At 45.1% G+C, this 19,893-nt stretch overlaps 1 protein-coding gene across 3 annotated transcripts in view, besides 2 other annotated features; it reads left to right on the top strand.

Moving 5' to 3' along the window:
• The window catches only part of CRYL1 (crystallin lambda 1), a 122,189-nt gene that overhangs the window by 47,697 nt on the left and 54,599 nt on the right, over positions 1–19,893 (top strand). The gene's annotated exons all lie outside the window — the stretch shown is intronic.
• Positions 1,736–1,785: an enhancer, noted in NCBI's record as "active region_7423". NCBI's record gives its function as "activates an Ori minimal core promoter by ATAC-STARR-seq in GM12878 lymphoblastoid cells {active_cell/tissue: GM12878}" and the evidence as "EXISTENCE:reporter gene assay evidence [ECO:0000049][PMID:35858748]".
• Positions 1,856–2,055: an enhancer, noted in NCBI's record as "active region_7422". NCBI's record gives its function as "activates an Ori minimal core promoter by ATAC-STARR-seq in GM12878 lymphoblastoid cells {active_cell/tissue: GM12878}" and the evidence as "EXISTENCE:reporter gene assay evidence [ECO:0000049][PMID:35858748]".

Genomic DNA, 19,893 nt, shown 5'->3' with positions numbered 1-19,893 from the left:
TGCTTGGAAACTAGTAAACACTTTAGCAACTATAATATTTGCTTCTAGTCATTTTTTCTAGAGTATTTTACTTTCTGCTGTTAGCAATGGGAGATGGTTATTTATGAAGACTGTTGGATACTGTGTGCTACACAGAATACACCATGGAGCCTGCCCATATATATTTTTATATACATATATATATATATAACTACGTAATATATATATTATAAAATGATAATATATAATATACTGTAATATATACTATAATACATATGGTAGTATTTATAGTATAGTATTATATATTATCATATAATATATATTATACTATCTATATACTATAGTATATTATATTTTAGTATAATATATAATAGAATACATAATGGAATATTATATATTATCTATTATACAATTATATATTATCTAGTATACAAAATAATATATAATATAAAAATAATTTTTTAAAATTTATTATATATATTTTTAATATATTTTTAAAAATATTTTTATATATTTAATTTTAAACATTATTAAATGATAATATGTAATATTAAATACACCATGGAGCCTGCCTGTATATATACCTACTGTGTGTCAATCTCTTACTATGGGCCAGGTCCTGTGCCGCCCATTTTATGCAAAATGACCCACTTCAGTCCTCAGGACGCCCATGTAAAGTGGGTGCTAGTATTTATTCCATGCCATGCCCGCTCTCCAACCCCAATCATTGTTGCCTGCACACCTCAGGAATATTTTTGATTGTTTTACCTACTGCTATTTCTCCAACACCTAAAACAGTGCCTAGTTTATACAAATATTATATATATATATAAATTAATTACTTAAGATTTTTAGAGTCAAGGTCTTGCTCTGCTGCCCAGGTTGGAATGTAGCTGTGTGATCATAGCTCACTGACGTCTTGAACTCCTGGGCTCAAGCGATCCTCCCACCTCAGTCTCCCGAGTAGCTAGGACTACAGGCATGTGTCACCACACCCAGGTAATTATTTGTTGCTGTTTTTGAGACGGAGTCCCGCTCTGTCGCCCAGGCTGGAGCGCGGTGGCACGATCTTGGCTCACTGCAAGCTCTGCCTCCCGGGTTCATGCCATTCTCCTGCCTCAGCCTCCCGAGTAGCTGGGACTACAGGCGCCCGCCACCACGCCCGGCTAATTTTTTGTATTTTTCGTAGAGACGGGCTTTCACCATGTTAGCCAGGATGGTCTCGATCTCCTGACCTCGTGATCCACTCGCCTCGGCCTCCCAAAGTGCTGGGATTACAGGCGTGAGCCACCGCACCCGGCCTACACCCAGGTAATTTTTTAGTAGAGTCGAGGTCTCACTGTGTTGTCCAAGCTGGTCTTGAACTCCTGGGCCTAAACAATCCTCCAGCTTGGCCTCCCAAAGTGCTGGAATTGCAGGCATAAGCTACCTCGCCCTGCTGAGCCTGCGTTTTTAAGAGGTATGAGGCATAAGCGGGAATCTGGGAGCTTCATGTTAATGAAAAGTAAGGGACACCTGCAGAACTCGGTGCTGGCCCTGCTGCATGTTTTTCTTCCGGCTTGGGCTCCCTGCTGCTCACCTAGCGGTATCAGCACGCTGGGAGCATATCTGCTGACGCAGAGCTGCCTTGCTGTGTTTATTTTCATTTGAAAGTCAATATTCAAAGACTTGTTGCCCAGTAAGTCTGTTTGAACCACTGGGGGAAATCAAAAGGTTTCTTTCAAGGGGCGGCCTTTCACCTCTTATGGGTCTGGTTGACCTGTATCAGTCCCTGCTGCCCAGCAGAGACCTTCCTGCCTTTCGTTTTTCCTTTTTTTTTTTTTTTTTGAGATGGAGTTTTGCTCTGTCACCCAGGCTGTAGTGCAGTGGCGCGATCTTGGCTCACTGCAGCCTCTGCCTCCCGGGTTCCAGTGATTCTCTTGCCTCAGCCTCCTGGTAGCTGGGATTATAGGCACATGCCACCACTCCCAGCTAATTACCTTCCTGCCTTTCAGAGGCCCTGGCGTTCAGCAAGTATCGCATTGCACATTTGTGTGTGGGAAGACACCTGGGACACTGGAGTAGCTATTTCTGTTGTTTTGGCAGAGGAGGCTGCTACTGTGGTTTCCTCTGAGAGACCTACTGTGGTTTCCTTCCTTCCTGCCGCGTGCGCAGGACCTGCCCCGGAACTGCCGTGTGCGTGGGGCAGGTGACACAGGCCAGGATGAGGCTGTGGCCTTCCTGGAGCAAGTCCACTTTCCACTGACTGAGTACACTTACACAGCCTTCCTTTAACAGGCTCTCTGCCTGTGATTTGTGGATATGTCACCGGGACTCGTCCTGCGGCCTTTTGCTTCTTGCTTTGCTCGCGTTTGAAGGCACTTGCTATCTTGCCATCCTAGTTGGTAGGTGGTGGGTGGGAATCTTCCGCTGAAAGGGTCCCTGGTTTCTCTGAGCCTGGCCAGAGCCAGTTGCACAGCATCAGGTGATTCCCCTCTGTTCCCAAGGCCTCCTGAGGCTGATATGGCTCTTCTTTAGTCTTGGCCTATGACCCGCAGCTAATGGGAACTACTGTGCATCCATCCCTTACCATGGACCAGGTCCTGTGCCACACTCTTAACACAAAATGACCCACTTCAGTCCTCACGACACCCCCGTAAAGTGGGTGCTAGTATTTATTCCATGCCATACCCACTCTCCACCCCCAATCATTTTTGCCTGCACACCTCAGGAATATTTTTGATTGCTTTATCTACTGCTGTTTTTCCAGTACCTAAAACAGTGCCTGGCATGAGGCAGGAACTTAATAAACATTTGTTGATGACTGAATGGATTATCTGTTTAGAAATGACAGGATAAAGATCTCACCCCAGAGCCCAAAGGTGGAATCAGCCTTTGGGCCAGGTCGCTTGGACTCCAGCTGGAACCTGCATGCCTGCCACCCCTGCCAGGGAGGGAGAGACACGGGGTGTGATGGGGTCTGGGAATGCGGGGAGGCCCTCTTCCCGGTGCTCCTGAGGTGGCGGATGGCTCCCTCCTCCCTGTCCAGTTGTCTGCTCCTTCCCTGTCCCTGTAGCCTGGTGATGGCCATCCTGTCTGTGAGGCTGACTTCTGACTCGCCACTCTGGGCAATGGACATCGCGAGAGGACTTTGCTGCCCTGTGTTCCGGGTGTTGGAGGGTGAAGGAGGCTGCGCACGGGTCCAGATGCTGGGCTGTTAGAAGCTAGAGTGGATGGACCAAGAGTTCGGAGCTTGCTTGACCCTGAGGCAGGGGAGCCTTGTCCCTGAGACTTTGGGAGCTGAATCACAAGATCCAGAGTTGAGGAGGTCAAGATTGTTAAGGCCAAATGGTCTCCTTCCCTTTACTGAAAGTAAAGGAGGCTGGGGCAAGTCCAGGCAGGTGACGGTTTCTCCAGCAAACCTTTCTGGGCTGGTCATTGGCTGAGGGCCCTGGGAGGGGAGAGGAAGGTTGTGTGTGTCCCCCTGGACACAGCTGAGCCAGGAGCACTCTGAGTGTGAGCAGCTTGGGAGTCGCCGCTGCCTCTGAGGGGCCAGGAGCATTTTATTTCTTCCCAAGGTATCCTCTCATCTTTTCCTCAAGCTGTCCCTTGAAATACTTGGTTTGGCTGTGGAAAAATATTACTAATTACAATCACTTACATGAACAGGAACTCCATGCAGTAATTATGCATCTTGTCAAATAGGGGCTGACTGGCTCTTGGTAAGCCTTCTGAGGGCGACACAAAATTTTTCAAGTGTGTGTTGCTTTACCGGTTTGTTGCTTGTGGAATATGGCTCTCTCCTCCCAGCTCAGATATTAGAGGAAGCCTACATCCCATCCCTATGCAGCAACGGCTGGGGACGGGACAGGGCAGGTGGGCGTGAGAGCTGCCTGCTGCCGGCGCTGGTCCCGGACCGGAGGTTTCCTCCGAGATACCTAGTGAGCCCTTTAAAGGCCACTATGATGGCTGAAAGTGGAGGAAATTATGAAAAATATATTGTCAGCATCTTAAGATTCTGACTCTTGTATGCTTTTAAGTGGAACAGTTTCCAGGAGCCATAGTTGAGCTCTAGCTGCTGCTCTCTGTGGAATTCAGGACGTGCCCATGCCTTTCTCATTGTGCCCAGATGTTTTTATTCAGTGTCTGTCCCCTTCCCAGCCCAGAGGTAGGGAATCCCCTTCTTCAGAGAAGAAGAAATGGAAGCCGATGCCTGTCATTAATAGCCATGTGGGTGACCCTCAATGAAATTACCCTGTTACTTATACCCGATTCACTTGCTATGTTAACTAAATTACCCTGTTACTTATACCCGATTCACTTGCTGTGTTTTTGGTACTTTCCTGAGACGTTAGAATCCGTGAGAGCCATTGTTTTATTGTATAAATCATGATGAAAAGAGAAATGGAAAATGAGTTATCTTGAGTCTTAAGTGAACTGTTTTTGCTTTTCCTGTTTTGTTTTGCTCTGGGTGGGATGTAACGTCAGCTTTTACACCTGTGTTGCAAGTACCTAGCCCCACTTTCACCAACGGGCTCCTTCTACGTTGTTTGTACTTTCGTGAAGCACACCATGTTATCTGTGATGGCCAGGACGGTGGGCTCCGTGAAGCCCCAGACAGACACCTTGGCATCCAAGTGTGCCCTCTACTTTGGAGCGCCATCCTTGGCGCCCGCCCACCCACTCTGGCCAGGTCCGCTGAGATCACAAGGCTGCCTCTGGCTCTTCTAGCTGAAGGCCAGTTCAGAGGTCTCAGGCTGGTACCAGGGGCCGAGTCTGGCCATGTGCAGCTTTAAAAATAATTGTTCATTTGTTTGTTTGAATGACTCACTGATGTTTAAAAGTCTGGAAATTTCCACATAAAATATAGCTGTCTCACAGCTCCTTAAAGTCCGACGCTCCGGCCACAGTGAGCAGCATGTGGGTGCCGCACAGTGGGACTGCGGGTCTCCCCGCCACTCCTGCCGGCTCCTGTTCGTGGCTGTACATTACTGTTTACGCTGTAAGTGGAGAGGAAAGCGAAATATTTCTTAAATTCCTATTTCAATCAAAAGTGGGAAAACAAGAATTAGATTGCAGACTAATTTTACCTCACCTTCTTTAACTCACTCACTGTCTCTCTGAGCAGTACGGGCACTCGAGTTTGCTCCACTGGCCACTCCACCCCCGTTCCACCAAAGAGACTGGATCTTGGACCCCCAAATCCTAACATCCCGATGGCAAGAAGAGGCCCAAAAGTGAGTCCAAAAAGCGATTGCACCTCACAAACACTGAGAGCACAACGGGCTTCACTCCTTGACCTCTCTCCTCTGCCCTCCCCTCCCTGGCCCCAGCCAAAGTCCTGTGATTTCCTGGGGTGCCTCCTTTCTCCCCAGCATACCAGCATCCATGTGTTGTTCCAGCTGTCTGGGACCTGGGAGATGCAGAAGGTGTTCGAGCAGAGCGAATCCCCACCCTGCGAACCTCAGCTTCTTCCAGTGACAGGCCTGCCCCAGTGAGCCAGTCCCAGGCCTCAGAGGGCCACGCGCTGTCCTTAAGCTATCAGAATCCCATCTTTTTAGAGGTAAAGGCAGTGGTTGGGAGGAACCTTTGACTCTAGCTAGCCTTGCCCGTACGTTAGGAGGGCACAGCCAGCACTTTTACAGGAAGCTTAGAAAACAAGTTTTCTCATCTATAAAATGGAGATAATATTAGAAACCACCCCCTAAGGCTGTATTGAGGAGGAAATGGCTACGATGCGTAGTGCTTAGAAGACCATGCCTGTAGTAAGAGTGAGCTATGACAGCTGCCCTCCCTCAGATTCTGCATCGTGGATTCAGCCAACCACGACTTGAAAATATTTGGCAAAAATTGTGTCTGTGCTGAACATGTACATATTTTTTCTTGTCATTGTTCCCTAAGCAATACAGTATAACAACTATATACATAGCATTTACACTGTATAAGGTATTATAGGTCATCTAGAGGTGGTTTAAAGTATATAGGAGGATGTGCACAGGTGATATGAAAATACTAGGCCATTTTTTAAAAATCAGGGACTTGGGCCGGATGTGGTGGCTCATACCTGTAATCTTAACACTTTGGGAGGCTAAGGCGGGTGGATCACCTGAGGTCAGGAGTTGGAGACCAGCCTGGTCAATATGGCGAAACCCGGTCTCTACTAAAAGTACAAAAATTAGCCTTGCATGTTGGTGGGCGCCTGTAATCCCAGCTACTCAGGAGGCTAAGGCAAGAGAATTGCTTGATCCTGGGAGGCGGAGGTTGCAGTAAGCTGAGATCATGCCACTGCATTCCAGATTCCAGCCTGGGCAACAAGAGTGAGACTACGTCTCAAAAAAAAAATGAAAGAAAGGAAGAGAGAGAGAGAAAAAGAGAGAGAGAGGGAAAGAAAGAGAGAAAGAAAGAAAGAAAAAAATCAGGGACCTGAGCATCCTCGAATTTTAGCATCCATGGGGTTCCTGGAACCAGTGTCTGATGGATCCCGGGGGATGACTGTATTATTAATAGGAAAGTGGGAAGGAGCACCTAGAAACCTGGTTTCCTAATGTAACCATTAGCATCAATTTTGCATTTCCTTTGTCTTTTCCTTTTTTTTTTTGAGACAGAGTCTCGCTCTGTCGCCCAGGCTGGAGTGCAGTGGTGCGATCTCGGCTCACTGAAAGCTCAGCCTCCTGGGTTCACGCCATTCTCCTACCTCAGCCTCCCGAGTAGCTGGGACTACAGGCGACCGCCACCACACCCGGCTAATTTTTCGTATTTTTAGTAGAGATGGGTTAGCCAGTCTCTACTAACAATACAAAACTAACACTTCACCGTGTTAGCCAGGATGGTCTCAATCTCCTGACCTCGTGATCCACCTGCCTCGGCCTCCCAAAGTGCTGGGATTACAGGCGTGAGCCACCGCGCCTGGCCTGTCTTTTTCATATACATGTTTTTGTTTGCTTTAGTACACAGTTGTCATCAAAGTGAAGAAGTTACTTAATGTAAGTGTTCCATGTTGCTTCATAATCCCATAGCCACTTCCGTAATAGCCACGTCATACTCTTTCACGTGAATTTACGCTAACACACACAACCACCCCCGTACTGCAGTTCATTTGTTTTGATATTATTTCACTCTTCTGACACCTTTTTGATGGCTGAGACAACTTCTATGTATTGTGAATAATTTTGTTCAGAATACTTTCCATTAAGTGAAACTCAGACCAGAGGTTATAAGCTCTTATTTTTTTTTAAAGAAAGATTCTTCATATGTGTGTCATGGGTTTTTTTTTTTGTTTTTTTTTTTTTTTTGAGATGGAGTTTTGCTCTTTTTGCCCAGGCTGGAGTGCAGTGGCACGATCTCAGCTCACTGCAACCTCTGCCTCCTGGGTTCAAGCGATTCTCCTGCCTCAGCCTCCCGAGTAGCTGGGATTACAGGCGCCTGCCACTGTGCTCAACTGATTTTTTGTAGTTTTAGTGGAAACAGGGTTTCACCATGTTAGTCAGGCTGTTCTCAAACTCCTGACCTCAGGTGATCCACCTGCCTCGGCCTCCCAAAGTGCTGGGATCACAGGTGTGAGCCACCGCGCCTGGCCGGGTCATGGTTTTTATAGCTTTTGTCTTGAGACTCTGGGAGGAATGAAGTTTTGGGTTTAAATGTCACCATTCAAAATCTGCTTCCCCTTCCTTTCTGTTCTCATCTGTTGTTAGGGAAAACAATGAACTGGTTTTTTGTGTCAGTCTCTGGAAAAATAGAAAGTCCTCAGAAGATTGGACGATGTCACTGCTCTTGTCCAGCTCAGCGCCTTTGAGGGCTGGTGCCTTCCCTGTGGTTTCCCAGTGCTGGCAGCCCGGAGAGCTTGGTGTGGTCTCCTTCCCTGCAGCGGCCGCTGCCTGCATTCTGGGGAAGCACATTCTATGCACTGTGAACAGAACAGTGCTTGAGGCTGTGCTTGAACTTGCACCCGGGGCCAGGCCTGAGTCGCGGCAGTGGGGCAGAGGCTTTCCATGAACCAGAAGGGAGGTCCTGCTGCCCCTTCCAAAGCTGATTCTCTTCTCTTTTAATGAGACTTTGATTTTGGCAACAGTGGGCTGCTGAATGTATTGCTGGTCTTGGGATATTTGAGGAAGAAGAAAGCCTGCTTTGCAGGGAGGACGGGTGTAGCTTTATACCCCAACTCCAGGTGATCGCACTGTCGATAGTCTTCTTCAGGACCCTGAGGCGTAAATTAGCGAACTTAGTCCTGAACTTCTAAGATTTGGCATGAATGCTGTGTCCCTCCCATCCTTCCACTTCATTTTTATTAGATTCCATTTGGTATAATCTAATGGCTGCAGCTTTAGGAGAGGGGCTTACCTGGTCGTAGTCCATCGGGAGCCCAGTGCTTTGCCAGCAAGCCTTCCCATGGGGCCAGACATTGGTGTGAGATGAGTGACTGGCTCAGCCAAGACCTTTGACAGGTTTCCTGGGGCTTTGGGTTCCTCCTTCTCCTAAGCAAGCCATAGGAAGAAATTAAACGTTGTCATGCTTGGCTGTGGGGATCAGAGGTCATACAGGCATCTTGCTTCCAGCCTGAGAATAAACAGATACCGGAAGGAATGTATAGCTAAGAGAATTCTAGAGGAAGGAAAAGTCCCAGCCACTGAGTTAATTGAACCCCGAGTCCCTCCCAGCCTCTGGCCTTTCTGTGATGTGAGCCACTCCATTTCTTTATTGTTTAAGGTGGGTTAAATTAGATTGCACGTAGCTGAAAGCATCCTGACTGGTAAATATGATAAAGTATATGCTGACCCAGACCTGAACTTCTCAAGGGCTTCCTGGTAGCTTTTAAAATCCTATTGTAGGTTCAGAGGTGTAAAACATTGCTTGTTTTGTCTGTGGATTTACAGAAGAAAGATGAAAGTAAATTTGTGTTTATAAAGGACTGTTGAGCCTAGGTTTGAATTATGTGAACAAAGAAGTTGAAAAGAAAGTCCTAGGTTTGAACTTGCTTTTTCTCCTTGACATCTTCCTATGTGGTGGTCCATCTGCTTTAGGAAATGGCCTATATGTTTTTAGACTTCCACAACTTATTTTAATCATAAAGCCCTCAAAAGGCACCAGAAAGTAAGTTGTTGGTCGTATCTATGGTAGACACTTAACACTTCCTGAGAAACTGCTGACGGTGGATGGAGTTGTAACAGGGATGCCGTCCAGGGGAGCGGAGCTTGACGTCGACACTCTCCACTTCTTACCTCACATTATTGTTTCAGGAAGCCTAAGGTGATCGCTCTCCGACTCATAGCACTAGATGCTAGAAAACTAGGTAAAGGGAGCGCTGGGCATGGTGGATCACGCCTGTAATCCCAGCGCTTTGGCAGGCTGAGTTGGGTAGATCACTTGAGGTCAGGAGTTCGACACCAGCCTGGACAACATGGTTAAACCCCATCTCTACTAAAAAATACAAAAATTAGCCAGGCATGGCGGTATATGCCTGTAGTCTTCGCCACTCAGGAGGCTGAGGCAGGAGAATCACTCGAACCCGGGAGGCAGAGGTTGCAGTGAGCCGAGATTGTGCCACTGCACTCCAGCCTGGGCAACAGAGCGAGACTGCACCTCAAAACAAACAAACAAACAAAAACTAGGTAAAGGGAGAAGGTGATATCAGTGTCTCTAGAAAGAAGGCTTCGAAGCTGGCTTCTTCTTTGTTCAGTTAATGGTCAGTGAAATGAATCCCACTGTGGTCACTGGTAGATTGTTGAATGCTGGAGATAATTGAATAGCTAAGTTCGACTTCAACAAAAAAGTAAGTTTTGAGCTGAGTGTGGTGGCATGCATCTGTAGTTCCAGCTACTCAGGAGGCTGAGTTGGGAGGGTCACTTGAGCCTAGGAGTTTGAGTCCTGTCTGGGCAACACAGGGAGACGTTGTCTCTAAAAATAAACTAAAATAAAAAGTAAGTTTAGAAGAGATAGCTGAGTTGGAGAAGAGTGCAAAACTGGAAAATTGTAGGCATGTTTAACGCCTTAAAAAAATTTCAAATGGTTACATGTTTAATTACAGAAAGACCCAGAATAAAAGAGAATAATTCTGTTAAGGCGGCAGTTCTCAACTGTTTTGGCACCAGAGATGGGTTCTGTGGAAGACAGTTTTTTTCATTGCCAGGTGGGGGTTGGGGGAGGTGCGAATGGCTTCAGGATGAAACTGTTCCACTGCTGATCATAAGGCGCTTGTAAGATTCTCATGAGGAGAGCACAACCTAGATCCCTTAAGTGTGAGGTTCACAACAGGGTTTGCGCTCCTGTGAGAATCCAATGCCACGCTGATCTAACAGGAGGTGGAGCTCAGGCGCACGGCTCACCTCCTGCTGCGTGGCCTGGTTCCTAACAGGCCAGGGACCGGTACCAGTCTGAGGCACCGGGCGTTGCAGACCCCTGTGTTGAAGTATTCATGTTTATCTTTCCAGCCCAATCTCGGCTCACTGCAACCTCTGCCTCCCGGGTTCAAGCGATTCCACTGGCTCAGCATCCCGAGCAGCTGGGACAACAGGCGCGTGCCACCACGCCCGGCTAATTTTTGTATTTTTAGTAGCGATGGGTTTCGCCATGTTGGCCAGGCTGGGTTTGAACTCCTGACCTCAGGCGATCCGCCTGCCTCGGCCTCCCAAAGTGCTGGGATGACAGGCATGAGCTACCACGCAAGGCCCAGATATTTTAAAAGTGAACCTCATAGCATTTTCAATGAAATATTTTAGACATACAAAAACTCATAGAATAATATAGTGACGACTCATGTATATCCATCCAATTTAAGGAGAAAAAAAAATTCACAAGTACAGGTCCCTGCTATAGCTCTCTTTCCTCCACAAGGGATTGTGACATGAACTTTGTCATTTATACTTTCTATGTGTATTTTTTACTACATGTTTATGCAGCTGTAAATAATATATAGCATAGTACTGTGGGGTTTTGAACTTTATTTAAATGTTATACTGTATGGGCCGGGGGTGGTGGCTTATGCCTGTAATCCCAGCACTTTGGGAGGCCGAGGTGGGCAGATCATGAGGTCAGGAGAGTGAGACCATCCTGGCTAACACGGTGAAACCCCATCTCTACTGAAAAAAAAAAAAATCAGCCGGGCGTGGTGGCAGGCACCTGTAGTCCCAACTACTCAGGAGGCTGAGGCAGGAGAATGGTGTGAACGCGGGAGGCAGAGCTTCCAGTGAGCCAAGATCACACCACTGCACTCCAGCCTGGGCAACAGAGTGAGACTCCGTCTCAGAAAAAAAAAAAGTTATATTGTGTGACTTATTCTGCAACTTGTTTTCATTCATTGGTGTGTTTCATACAAATATTAAACAATTTATTTATCTGTTTCCCTGTTGACGGATGTATAAATATTATCAAAAATGTTGAATTATAAAGAGTGCAGTTATGCATATTCCTGTACATCTCTTCTTACATTCATGTGCATAGTTAGGGTTTGTAATTAAGCATAGACTCACTATTTTATGTAGCAGGTGCAACTTCAACTACACACACACACACACACACACACACACAGAGTTTTCCAAAGTAATATACCAGTTTATTTTCTCACCAGAACCATAAGAGAGACAGTTAAGTTTGTGCCAGTCTGATATGTATGCAATGATAACTCATTCTTTTAATTTGCATTTCCCTGATTATTCAAGGGCTTGTGTATTTGAGCTGCTTCTGCTTTGTGTGTGCGTGCGTGTGTGTGGATGTGAAGTATCTGTTGTACACTTTGCCCATTTAAACAAAATCTTTTAATGGTTCTTTCACTGATTTATAACAACTCTTTAAAAATTTTAGATGCTAAATCCTTTAATATCTGATCACATTTTGCCAGCTGCCCCTGTCTATAGTGTCCTTTTATGTACATACTTAAAAATTTTTTCAATGCAGTCAAATTTACCCATCTTTTCCTTTATTTCTTGTGGACCTTAACACTTGTTTAAGAATTCCTAATCCCCTCTGTTTGGAGATTGGGGCGTATGGAAGGCTGCGAGGCCATGCCTATAAAAAGGCATATATCCAAGTGCATTGTGTTGCTATGAAGGAATACCTGAGGCTGGGCAATTTATAAAGAAAAGATGTTTATTTGGCTCTTGGTTCTGCAGGCTCTTCAAGAAGCATGGTGTTGGCATCTACCCGGCTTCTGGTGAGGGCTTTAGGCTGCTCCCACCCATGGCAGAAGGTGAAGGGAAGCTGATGTGTGTAGAGATCACATGGTGAAAGGGAGAAAAGGGAGGTGATGGGCTTTTTTTTTTTTTTTCAACCAGCTCTCATGGAAACTAATAGAGCAAGAACTCATTCATAGCCCCCCTCCAGGAGGGCATTAATTTATTTATGTGGGATCCACCCCCATGACCCAAACACCTCCCTCTGGGCCCCACATCCAACATTGGGGATCACATTTTATCATGAGATTTGGAGGATCAAATATCCAAACATTAGGAGCATGTCATACTGTTGCTGCCAGCATTCTGGTAAACTCTCTATGGCTCAGGGCCAGGTCTTTGCCAAGAGGAAGATCTTCAAAACAATACTGCAGAATTCGGGAGTGGCATGAATCCACCCTTTTGGAGCCTGCCAAGCTGCAGGGTGACCGGTGCCTGCCTCTGTTTTCTCTTACCCTTGCTCAGGATTAATTGTCATTGTCCTCTCCAAGAGCCAGCAGTGACGCTTTCCAACTGTTTGTGCATGGCTCTTTCCTTCCATAGTGGAGAAAGTGAAACCTAACCTCCAAATTACTCCTGAGGTGCTCCTAGGAACTTTTTGCCCAAGCCCAACCCTAGGGCACCTTTGACATCTTGTGTTTCGGTTCATTGCTTAAAGTTTGTTATTTGTTTCTCTGATGTGCAGAGATCATAGTGGTCAAGTGACTTGCCCAGAGTCACTCAGCAGGGAGTGGGGAGTAGTTGCAGGTTTCGTGACTCAGTTTAGTTTTTTGCTTAGTCCCAAGCTATTCCCTGCTGCCTGCTGCGAAACCTTGTTTATCTGTCCTTTAGGCCACTTCTGGGCATGCTTAGAGAATAGTTGGGATATTTAAAAGTCTGATATCCCTTAAGCTGGAGATATTGTCCAGCCTTACAGTGCTTGTACAGGACTGCTAAAGAAATTATTCTGCTCCTCTACTTAAACTACTATGGAGTTGTTGGTGTGTCTTTTCTAAAAATAAGAGCAAATTTAACCTGAAATATTTAGAATCTTTTTAGTTGACTAAAGGATTCCTGTCAAGGGACTTATGGTCAGAAAGCATCATCAAAGTTGCTTTGAAAAAGGTGCAGAGGTTTTCTTTCAGGGATATGGCGAAGGCGGCTGTGTGTAGCATGTTTTTGTCCTGAAGGAATGTGTTTATATTCTTGAAAGTTTTAAAGGTTTTTCTGACACCAAATGGAATCTAAAGCAAAAGAGACAAATCTACCTGCGATGAATGCACTTTTGTGAGGCAGATGCAATGAACAAAGTCAGCAAATGGCAGATCAGAAAGACATTGAGAGCAATAAAAAAAATTCCAAAAGGCTAATGTATAAATAACTGCTACAAATGAAGAAGGATACAAACAGCCCACTATTAAGATGGCCAAAAGTTATGAATGTCTGATTATCACACAGAAATAGATTTTAATTATTGAAATTCCTGGTGAAGCGCTCCCCAAGACCGTTTCTCCTCCTTCTTCCTCCTTAAAGGCAACCGTTACCACAAATTTGATGGGTCTCCTTCTGTCCATACTTTTAGTACATATTTCTAACAATCAGAAAATAACAGTAACACTATTTTGTATGCTTTAAATTTTATTTTATTGTATTGTATTTATTTATTTTGGAGATAGAATCTCACTCTATTACCCAGGCTAAAGTGCAGTGGCACAATCTCGGCTCACTGCAACCTCTGCCTCCTGAGTTCAAGCAATTCTCCTGCCTCAACCTCCTGAGTAGCTGGGACTACAGGCACGTGCCACCATACCCAGCTAATTTTTGTATTTTTAGTAGAGATAGGGTTTCACCATGTTGGCCAGGCTGGTCTTGAACTCCTGCATGTAACTTGTATAACGAACATATTTATGTATATGGAAATGTTTATATTTTTGCAATTTGCTTGTTTTTACTCAGTCATATGCTTTTTGAGATCTGGTCTGATTGACACATTAACACCTTTTTATTCATGTTAGTTTTATTTATTTTAATGTCGGTTAACAGGAATGGGCACAATTGACACAGCCCCCATTTGACGGACACCTGGTTCATTTTTATGTCTTGCTTTTGTGTAGAGTGGCTCTCCCTCGGGCATTCTGCAGCCTCTTTTTGAGGGTTCTCCTCTGCATGGACGTAGACAGGCAGCATTTCTGGCTTGCAGGATTTGTGCGTTTTCGGTACTACTACATCTTCGAATAATGTCATATTGTCCAAAATGTGTCATTTTATACATTTCTAAATGTATTGAGTTTTCATTTCTCCATATCTTCTTCAGCACTTGGTATCATCAGATTATTTAGTTTTTCCAATCTGTTGAATGTGAAATGATAGGTCATGGTTTCAATTTGTGTGGGACCCCGAGCTAGCTACCTGTCCTTGTTTAAAAAAGGGCAGGAAGAGGCTCTCAATTTAGAAAGTACATGGGTCACATTTGCCTTTGAGAAGTCTCTCCAATAAATCAGTTTAACACCTAGTTCAGAAAGGGGGTGATAAAATTTCTCCAGTCTATTGGAGGATGAGGGTAAAAGCTCATGAGACAGAAGTCATTGGGACTGTTATGCTGGTTGGCTTCCTTTAGAGTGACATACCAGAGGAGAAGGAGTCTTAGATTTTTTTCTGGAGAAAAATCAATCACTATGTGTCTTAATCTTACTTGGAGTAAGACTGCAAGCCTGCATGTATAGTGATCTGTGTTTTCAAGGTAAGACACTGGGAAAAAACTCAAGCATCAATACTGGTCATCTCTTGGAGGTGGAGTTTGGTTGAGGTTTGTCTAAATTTTTGACAATGAGCATATATTACTTTTGTAGAGATAAAAGCATGTTTATTTTCTAAAAGGCCTTTGGTGCAGGTTGCCTGGTAGGTGCGACACGCAGGTCTCCTCTGGGCTGCCTGCACGGGTGGGAGCAGGCCAGCAGGCGTCCACACTGAGGCTCAGGAGGTGGGCAGACCCAGCTTCGGGTTCTGCTGCCGTTTCTTCTTAGTTACACGAGCTTGTAAAACAGATTTTTCCATTTACAAAATGTGGATAAGGTAAGTATAGCTTACTCTGAGAGTTAAATGAAAAGGCATATAAAGTGCTTGCTGCGTACCAGGTACTGTTTGGATTGCTGGGAGATACTAGTAATGATAATGGTTGACTTTTAGAGTTTCTTATGCCAACAGTTTTGCCTGTGCTTTTTCACATTTAAGTACAATTTAGGCACGTTTGGCTAATCATTAAGGCAGTGGGATGGTACCGTTCCTGCAGGTATTGGAAAACCTGCATCGTATGCCTGCTGCTTTAGGAGACAACAAACTCAGCAGCCCCTCCCCCGAAGCTGAAGTGCCAAACTTAAGGCTCCAGGTAAACTGCCCTTCCGATGAGAGCTTTACATTTAGGCAGTAGCCACAGGCCTAAACAAAGTCAAATGGATGAAACTTGTGATCTCTCCTTGGAAATATGGCCAAGAGTGAAACAACTACTTAGTTATTATTTTAAACGCAGGCTGCTAAATGGCTTGTGTTGGTATGTAATGGCATCCTAGATAATGGGGGCTGCCAAGAAAATATTCACACTGGCAAGTCAATTAAAATACCGTTCTCTTCCTAAGAGGCCTGGCTGGATTCCAGAGCTTCCTTTAGGGTAACGCTCAAACCTGTCATAGTTTATTTTGTTTCTGTTTTCAGGCAACAGATTTGGTTATTGCTTTTATTGTATGAGTGTTGAAATGGTGTCCTAACAGCCATCTGTACTGCCATCCCCTGGGCGCCCCCAGGGCCTCCCACCAGGCCATCCTCCTGCCTCCTTCTCCCACCAGGCCCTCCTCCTGCCCCCTCCTCCCACTAGGTCGTCCTCCCACTAGGTCGTCCTGCCACCTTATCCCTTCCACAAGGCCCTCCTCCCACTCCATCCCTCCCACCAGGCCATCCTCCCACCCCATCCTCTCACCAGGCCGTCCTCCCACCCCATCCCTCCCACCAGGCCGTCCTCCCACCCTCTCTTCTCTCCAGACTGTCCTCCTGACCCCTCCTCCCACCAGGCAGTCCTCCCGCCTCCTCCTCCCCCAGGCTGCCCTCCCACCTCCTCCTCCCACCCCATCCCTCCCACAAGGTTGTCCTCCTCCCACCCTCTCCTCCCACAATGCTGAGCCCCTGGAGGCCCAAAAGCACTCCTGTGCTTGGGAAGATGGCTTGGCACCTCTGCAGTTCTGGGTACTGCTTTCCTCTCTCAGGAGACATTCTGTTCACCTTAGACACCCAGTCTCAAGAGTGTTTCTTTCTGGGAGGCCTTGGTGAATGATTCCTGCCCCACTCCCACCAGAATCAATCAGGTTTTCTCCCACCCCCAAGTTGTTTCCATGATCCTGAGATGGGGTGAGTCATGCTGTGTTGTGGCTTTGTGTATCTGGCCGTTTCTCCACTTGGTTCTGAGCTGCTGGAGGTGAGACCGTGGCTGCCTGCTTTGTGGTGCCAGCCTTCACCCCAGCTCTGGAGCCTCCTGCCTAAAGAAAGATTGGTATCCAGAGCTGCCAGGTCTTTTTAATAAAGATTAATAAATTTTACTTCATACTACATATAAAAGTAGACATGAAAAAAGTAAACACAGATGGATTAAATAAGAAGACATCTAAGAAATACTAAAATGTTCTAGAAGATAGCATAGGTCCCAAAACATGGAAGTAGGAGGACCTCACAAAGTGAGATATAAAAACCATGAGCAAATGCTGGTTTTGTAAACATTGAACCTCTGTGGGGCAGGAGGTGCTATTTACAAAATCAGAAGATAAGCAGCAGACCAAGAAAAATGTTTGCAGTGTCTGCATCATATTAAAAAATATAACTCAGTAAGAAAAAGACAAATGCCCCAGTAGAAAAATGGGCAAAATATAGGAACCAGCAATTCAGGAAGAGGAAAACCAGAGAGTCAGTGTGCATGTGAAAAGATGATAAACCTCAGTAGCATTTAGAGAAATAAAAAATAAAACTACAGCTGGCTGTGGAAGTGGAGACAGCGGCTACCCTAGTTGTGGTGGGGAGGGAGGATCCCCACCGTGAGGCCCAGGGGAGGGCGCCGCTGGGAAGGGTTCCTTGCTGCCTACACGAGCCCTTTGTGTGAAAACCCACCCAGCTGTGCACTTACTATATACATTCTTCTGTATGTATGTCACTTTTCAATAAATTAGCAAATTACTTAACTCTTAGAAAACAGCAGCTGCCGGCGGGGCGCAGTGGCTCACGTCTGTAATCCCAGCACTTTGGGAGGCGGAGACGGGCAGATCACGATGTCAGGAGATCGAGACCATTCTGGCTAACACAGTGAAACCCCATCTCTACTAAAAATACAAAAAATTAGCCGGGCGTAGTGGCGGGCGCCTGTAGTCCCGGCTACTTGGGAGGCTGAGGCAGGAGAATGGCGTGAACCCGGGTGGCGGAGCTTGCAGTGAGCCGAGATAGCGCCACTGCACTCCAGCCTGGGCGACAGAGCGAGACTCCGTCTCAAAAAAAAAAAAAAAAAAAAAAAAAAAAAAAAGCAGCTGCCTATTATTTTTGCCTCTGACATAGGCAAAGATTAAAGAGCCAACACCCAGTGTTGAGGCTGTGGTGAAGTGGATATTCTACATTGTCCTGCAAGTGTAAATTGGTACCAACTTTAAGAGAATAATTTGGCAATTAGTAATTGAAAAATAAACTATCGCTTTCTATGCTGTAGTAATCTGTGGTTCAAAAATGCTGACTCTTTCTATATATGGAGGCAGCATTTATATCTATGTATATACACACACACATATACATATATATGTAATGTGGTGCAAGGATTAAATCACAGTATTGTTGGTCATAACAAAAAATAGGAAACAACCTAAAGGCCTGCAGATAAAGAAATGGTTAAGTATTGGCACATCCATCCATGGGGGTGCATGCAGCTGCTAAAGGTGTTTTTGAGATATTAAGGGTGAGGGGCAAATTGCTGAACAAGATATAAAATAGAAACCATTTTTGTTTAAAGAAAAAAATTCCAAATCATTTGTATATGTGTTTGTATAAACTGGAAAAAAAGATCTAAGTGTTTAACAGCGAAGGTTGAATCGGCAGGAGGAAAGCAGACAGACCCTCACTTTCTACTTCAGATAATTTTCCTGTGTTTGATTTTGTTACAGTGTCGGTATTTTTATTCTTTCTTTTTCCTTTCAACTTTTATTTTAGGTTCAAGGGGTACATATGCAGGTTTGTTGCATCAGTAAATTGCATGTCATGGGGGTTTGGTGTACAGATAGTTTTGTCACCCGGTAATCAGCATAATATCTGATAGGTTTTCAGTCCTCACCCTCCTCCCACCCTCCACCCTAAATAGGCCCCAATGTCTGTTCCCCTCTTTGTGTCTATGTGTACTCAATGTTTAGATTTCACTTATAAGTGAGAACATCTGGTATTTAGTTTTCTGTTCCTGCGTTAATTCAATTAGGATTATGGCCTCCAGCTCCATCCATATTGCTATAAAGGACATAATCTCATTCTTTTTTATGGCTGCATAGTATTCCATGGTGTATATGTACCACATTTTCTCTATCTAGTCTACCATGGATGGGCGTCTAGGTTGGTTCCATGTCTTTGCTATTTTGAATAGTGCTGTGGTAAATGTAACCTGTGCATGTGTCTTTATAGTAGAATGATTTATATTCCTTTGGCTATATACCCAGTAATGGGATTGCTGGGTCTAATGGTAGTATTCTCTTTTAAGCACTTCGAGAAATCTCCAGACTGCTTTCACAGTGGTTGAATTAATTTTTTTTTTTTTTTTTTTTTTTGAGATGGAGTCTCGCTCTGTCGCCCAGGCTGGAGTACAGCGGCGTGAACTCGGCTTACTGCAAGCTCCGCCTCCCGGGATCACGCCATTCTCCTGCCTCAGCCTCCCGAGTAGCCGGGACTACAGGCACCCGCCACCACGCCCAGCTAATTTTTTGTATTTTTTAGTAGAGACGGGGTTTCACCGTGTTAGCCAGGATGGTCTTGATCTCCTGACCTTGTGATCCGCCCGCCTCGGCCTCCCAAAGTGCTGGGATTACAGGCGTGGTGGCTGAATTAATTTACATTACCACCAGCAGTGTATAAGTATTCCCAATGTCTGTATTTTAAAATGTTTTTTAAAAGGGCACAATTGAATGAAATTTTTAATATGTAGCTTTTGAGAGATTCTACTCTGCTTTGTTGTAACTGCTGGTCAGATGGATGTAGCTGACTGCTTTGGCACCAGATTTGCACAAGGCATAAGGCTGCTGCAGAAATCTGGGTCCAGAACGGCACTATTTGGTGTCCACATGGCTTTTGAGCACTTGAAATGTGACTGGTCAAAGCTGAGATGTGTTGTCAGGTGTAAAATTCCCACTGAGTTTTGAAGACTTACTATTTTTAAAAAGCGTATAAAATATCTCAATAGTTTTTAATAGTGATTACATGTTGAAATGTAATATTTGAGTTTATGAGTTAAATAAAATGTTATTAAAATTAAGGTTAGCATTTTCTTTTTACTTTTTTAATGCGGCCACTAGAAAATTTAGAATTGCATGTATGGCTCACAGTATATTTCTGTTGGATGCTGGTCTAGATGTTAAGATTTCAAAGGGTCCACGGCTCCAGAAAGGAATTAGTCAAGCTCCTGTTTTAATTCTTCTTGGGGTGGGACCTGCCCTTTTGGTTATTGCTTAAAGGGAAATAACCACTCCTGTTACTTAGGTTTGTACCTTTGATCAAAAATTTGCCCAGAGAAGTCTATTGT

Source organism: Homo sapiens, chromosome 13 (assembly GCF_000001405.40).
Source record: "Homo sapiens chromosome 13, GRCh38.p14 Primary Assembly".
NCBI classification, from domain to species: domain Eukaryota; kingdom Metazoa; phylum Chordata; class Mammalia; order Primates; family Hominidae; genus Homo; species Homo sapiens.
This window is presented reverse-complemented; position numbering and strand designations above follow the sequence as displayed.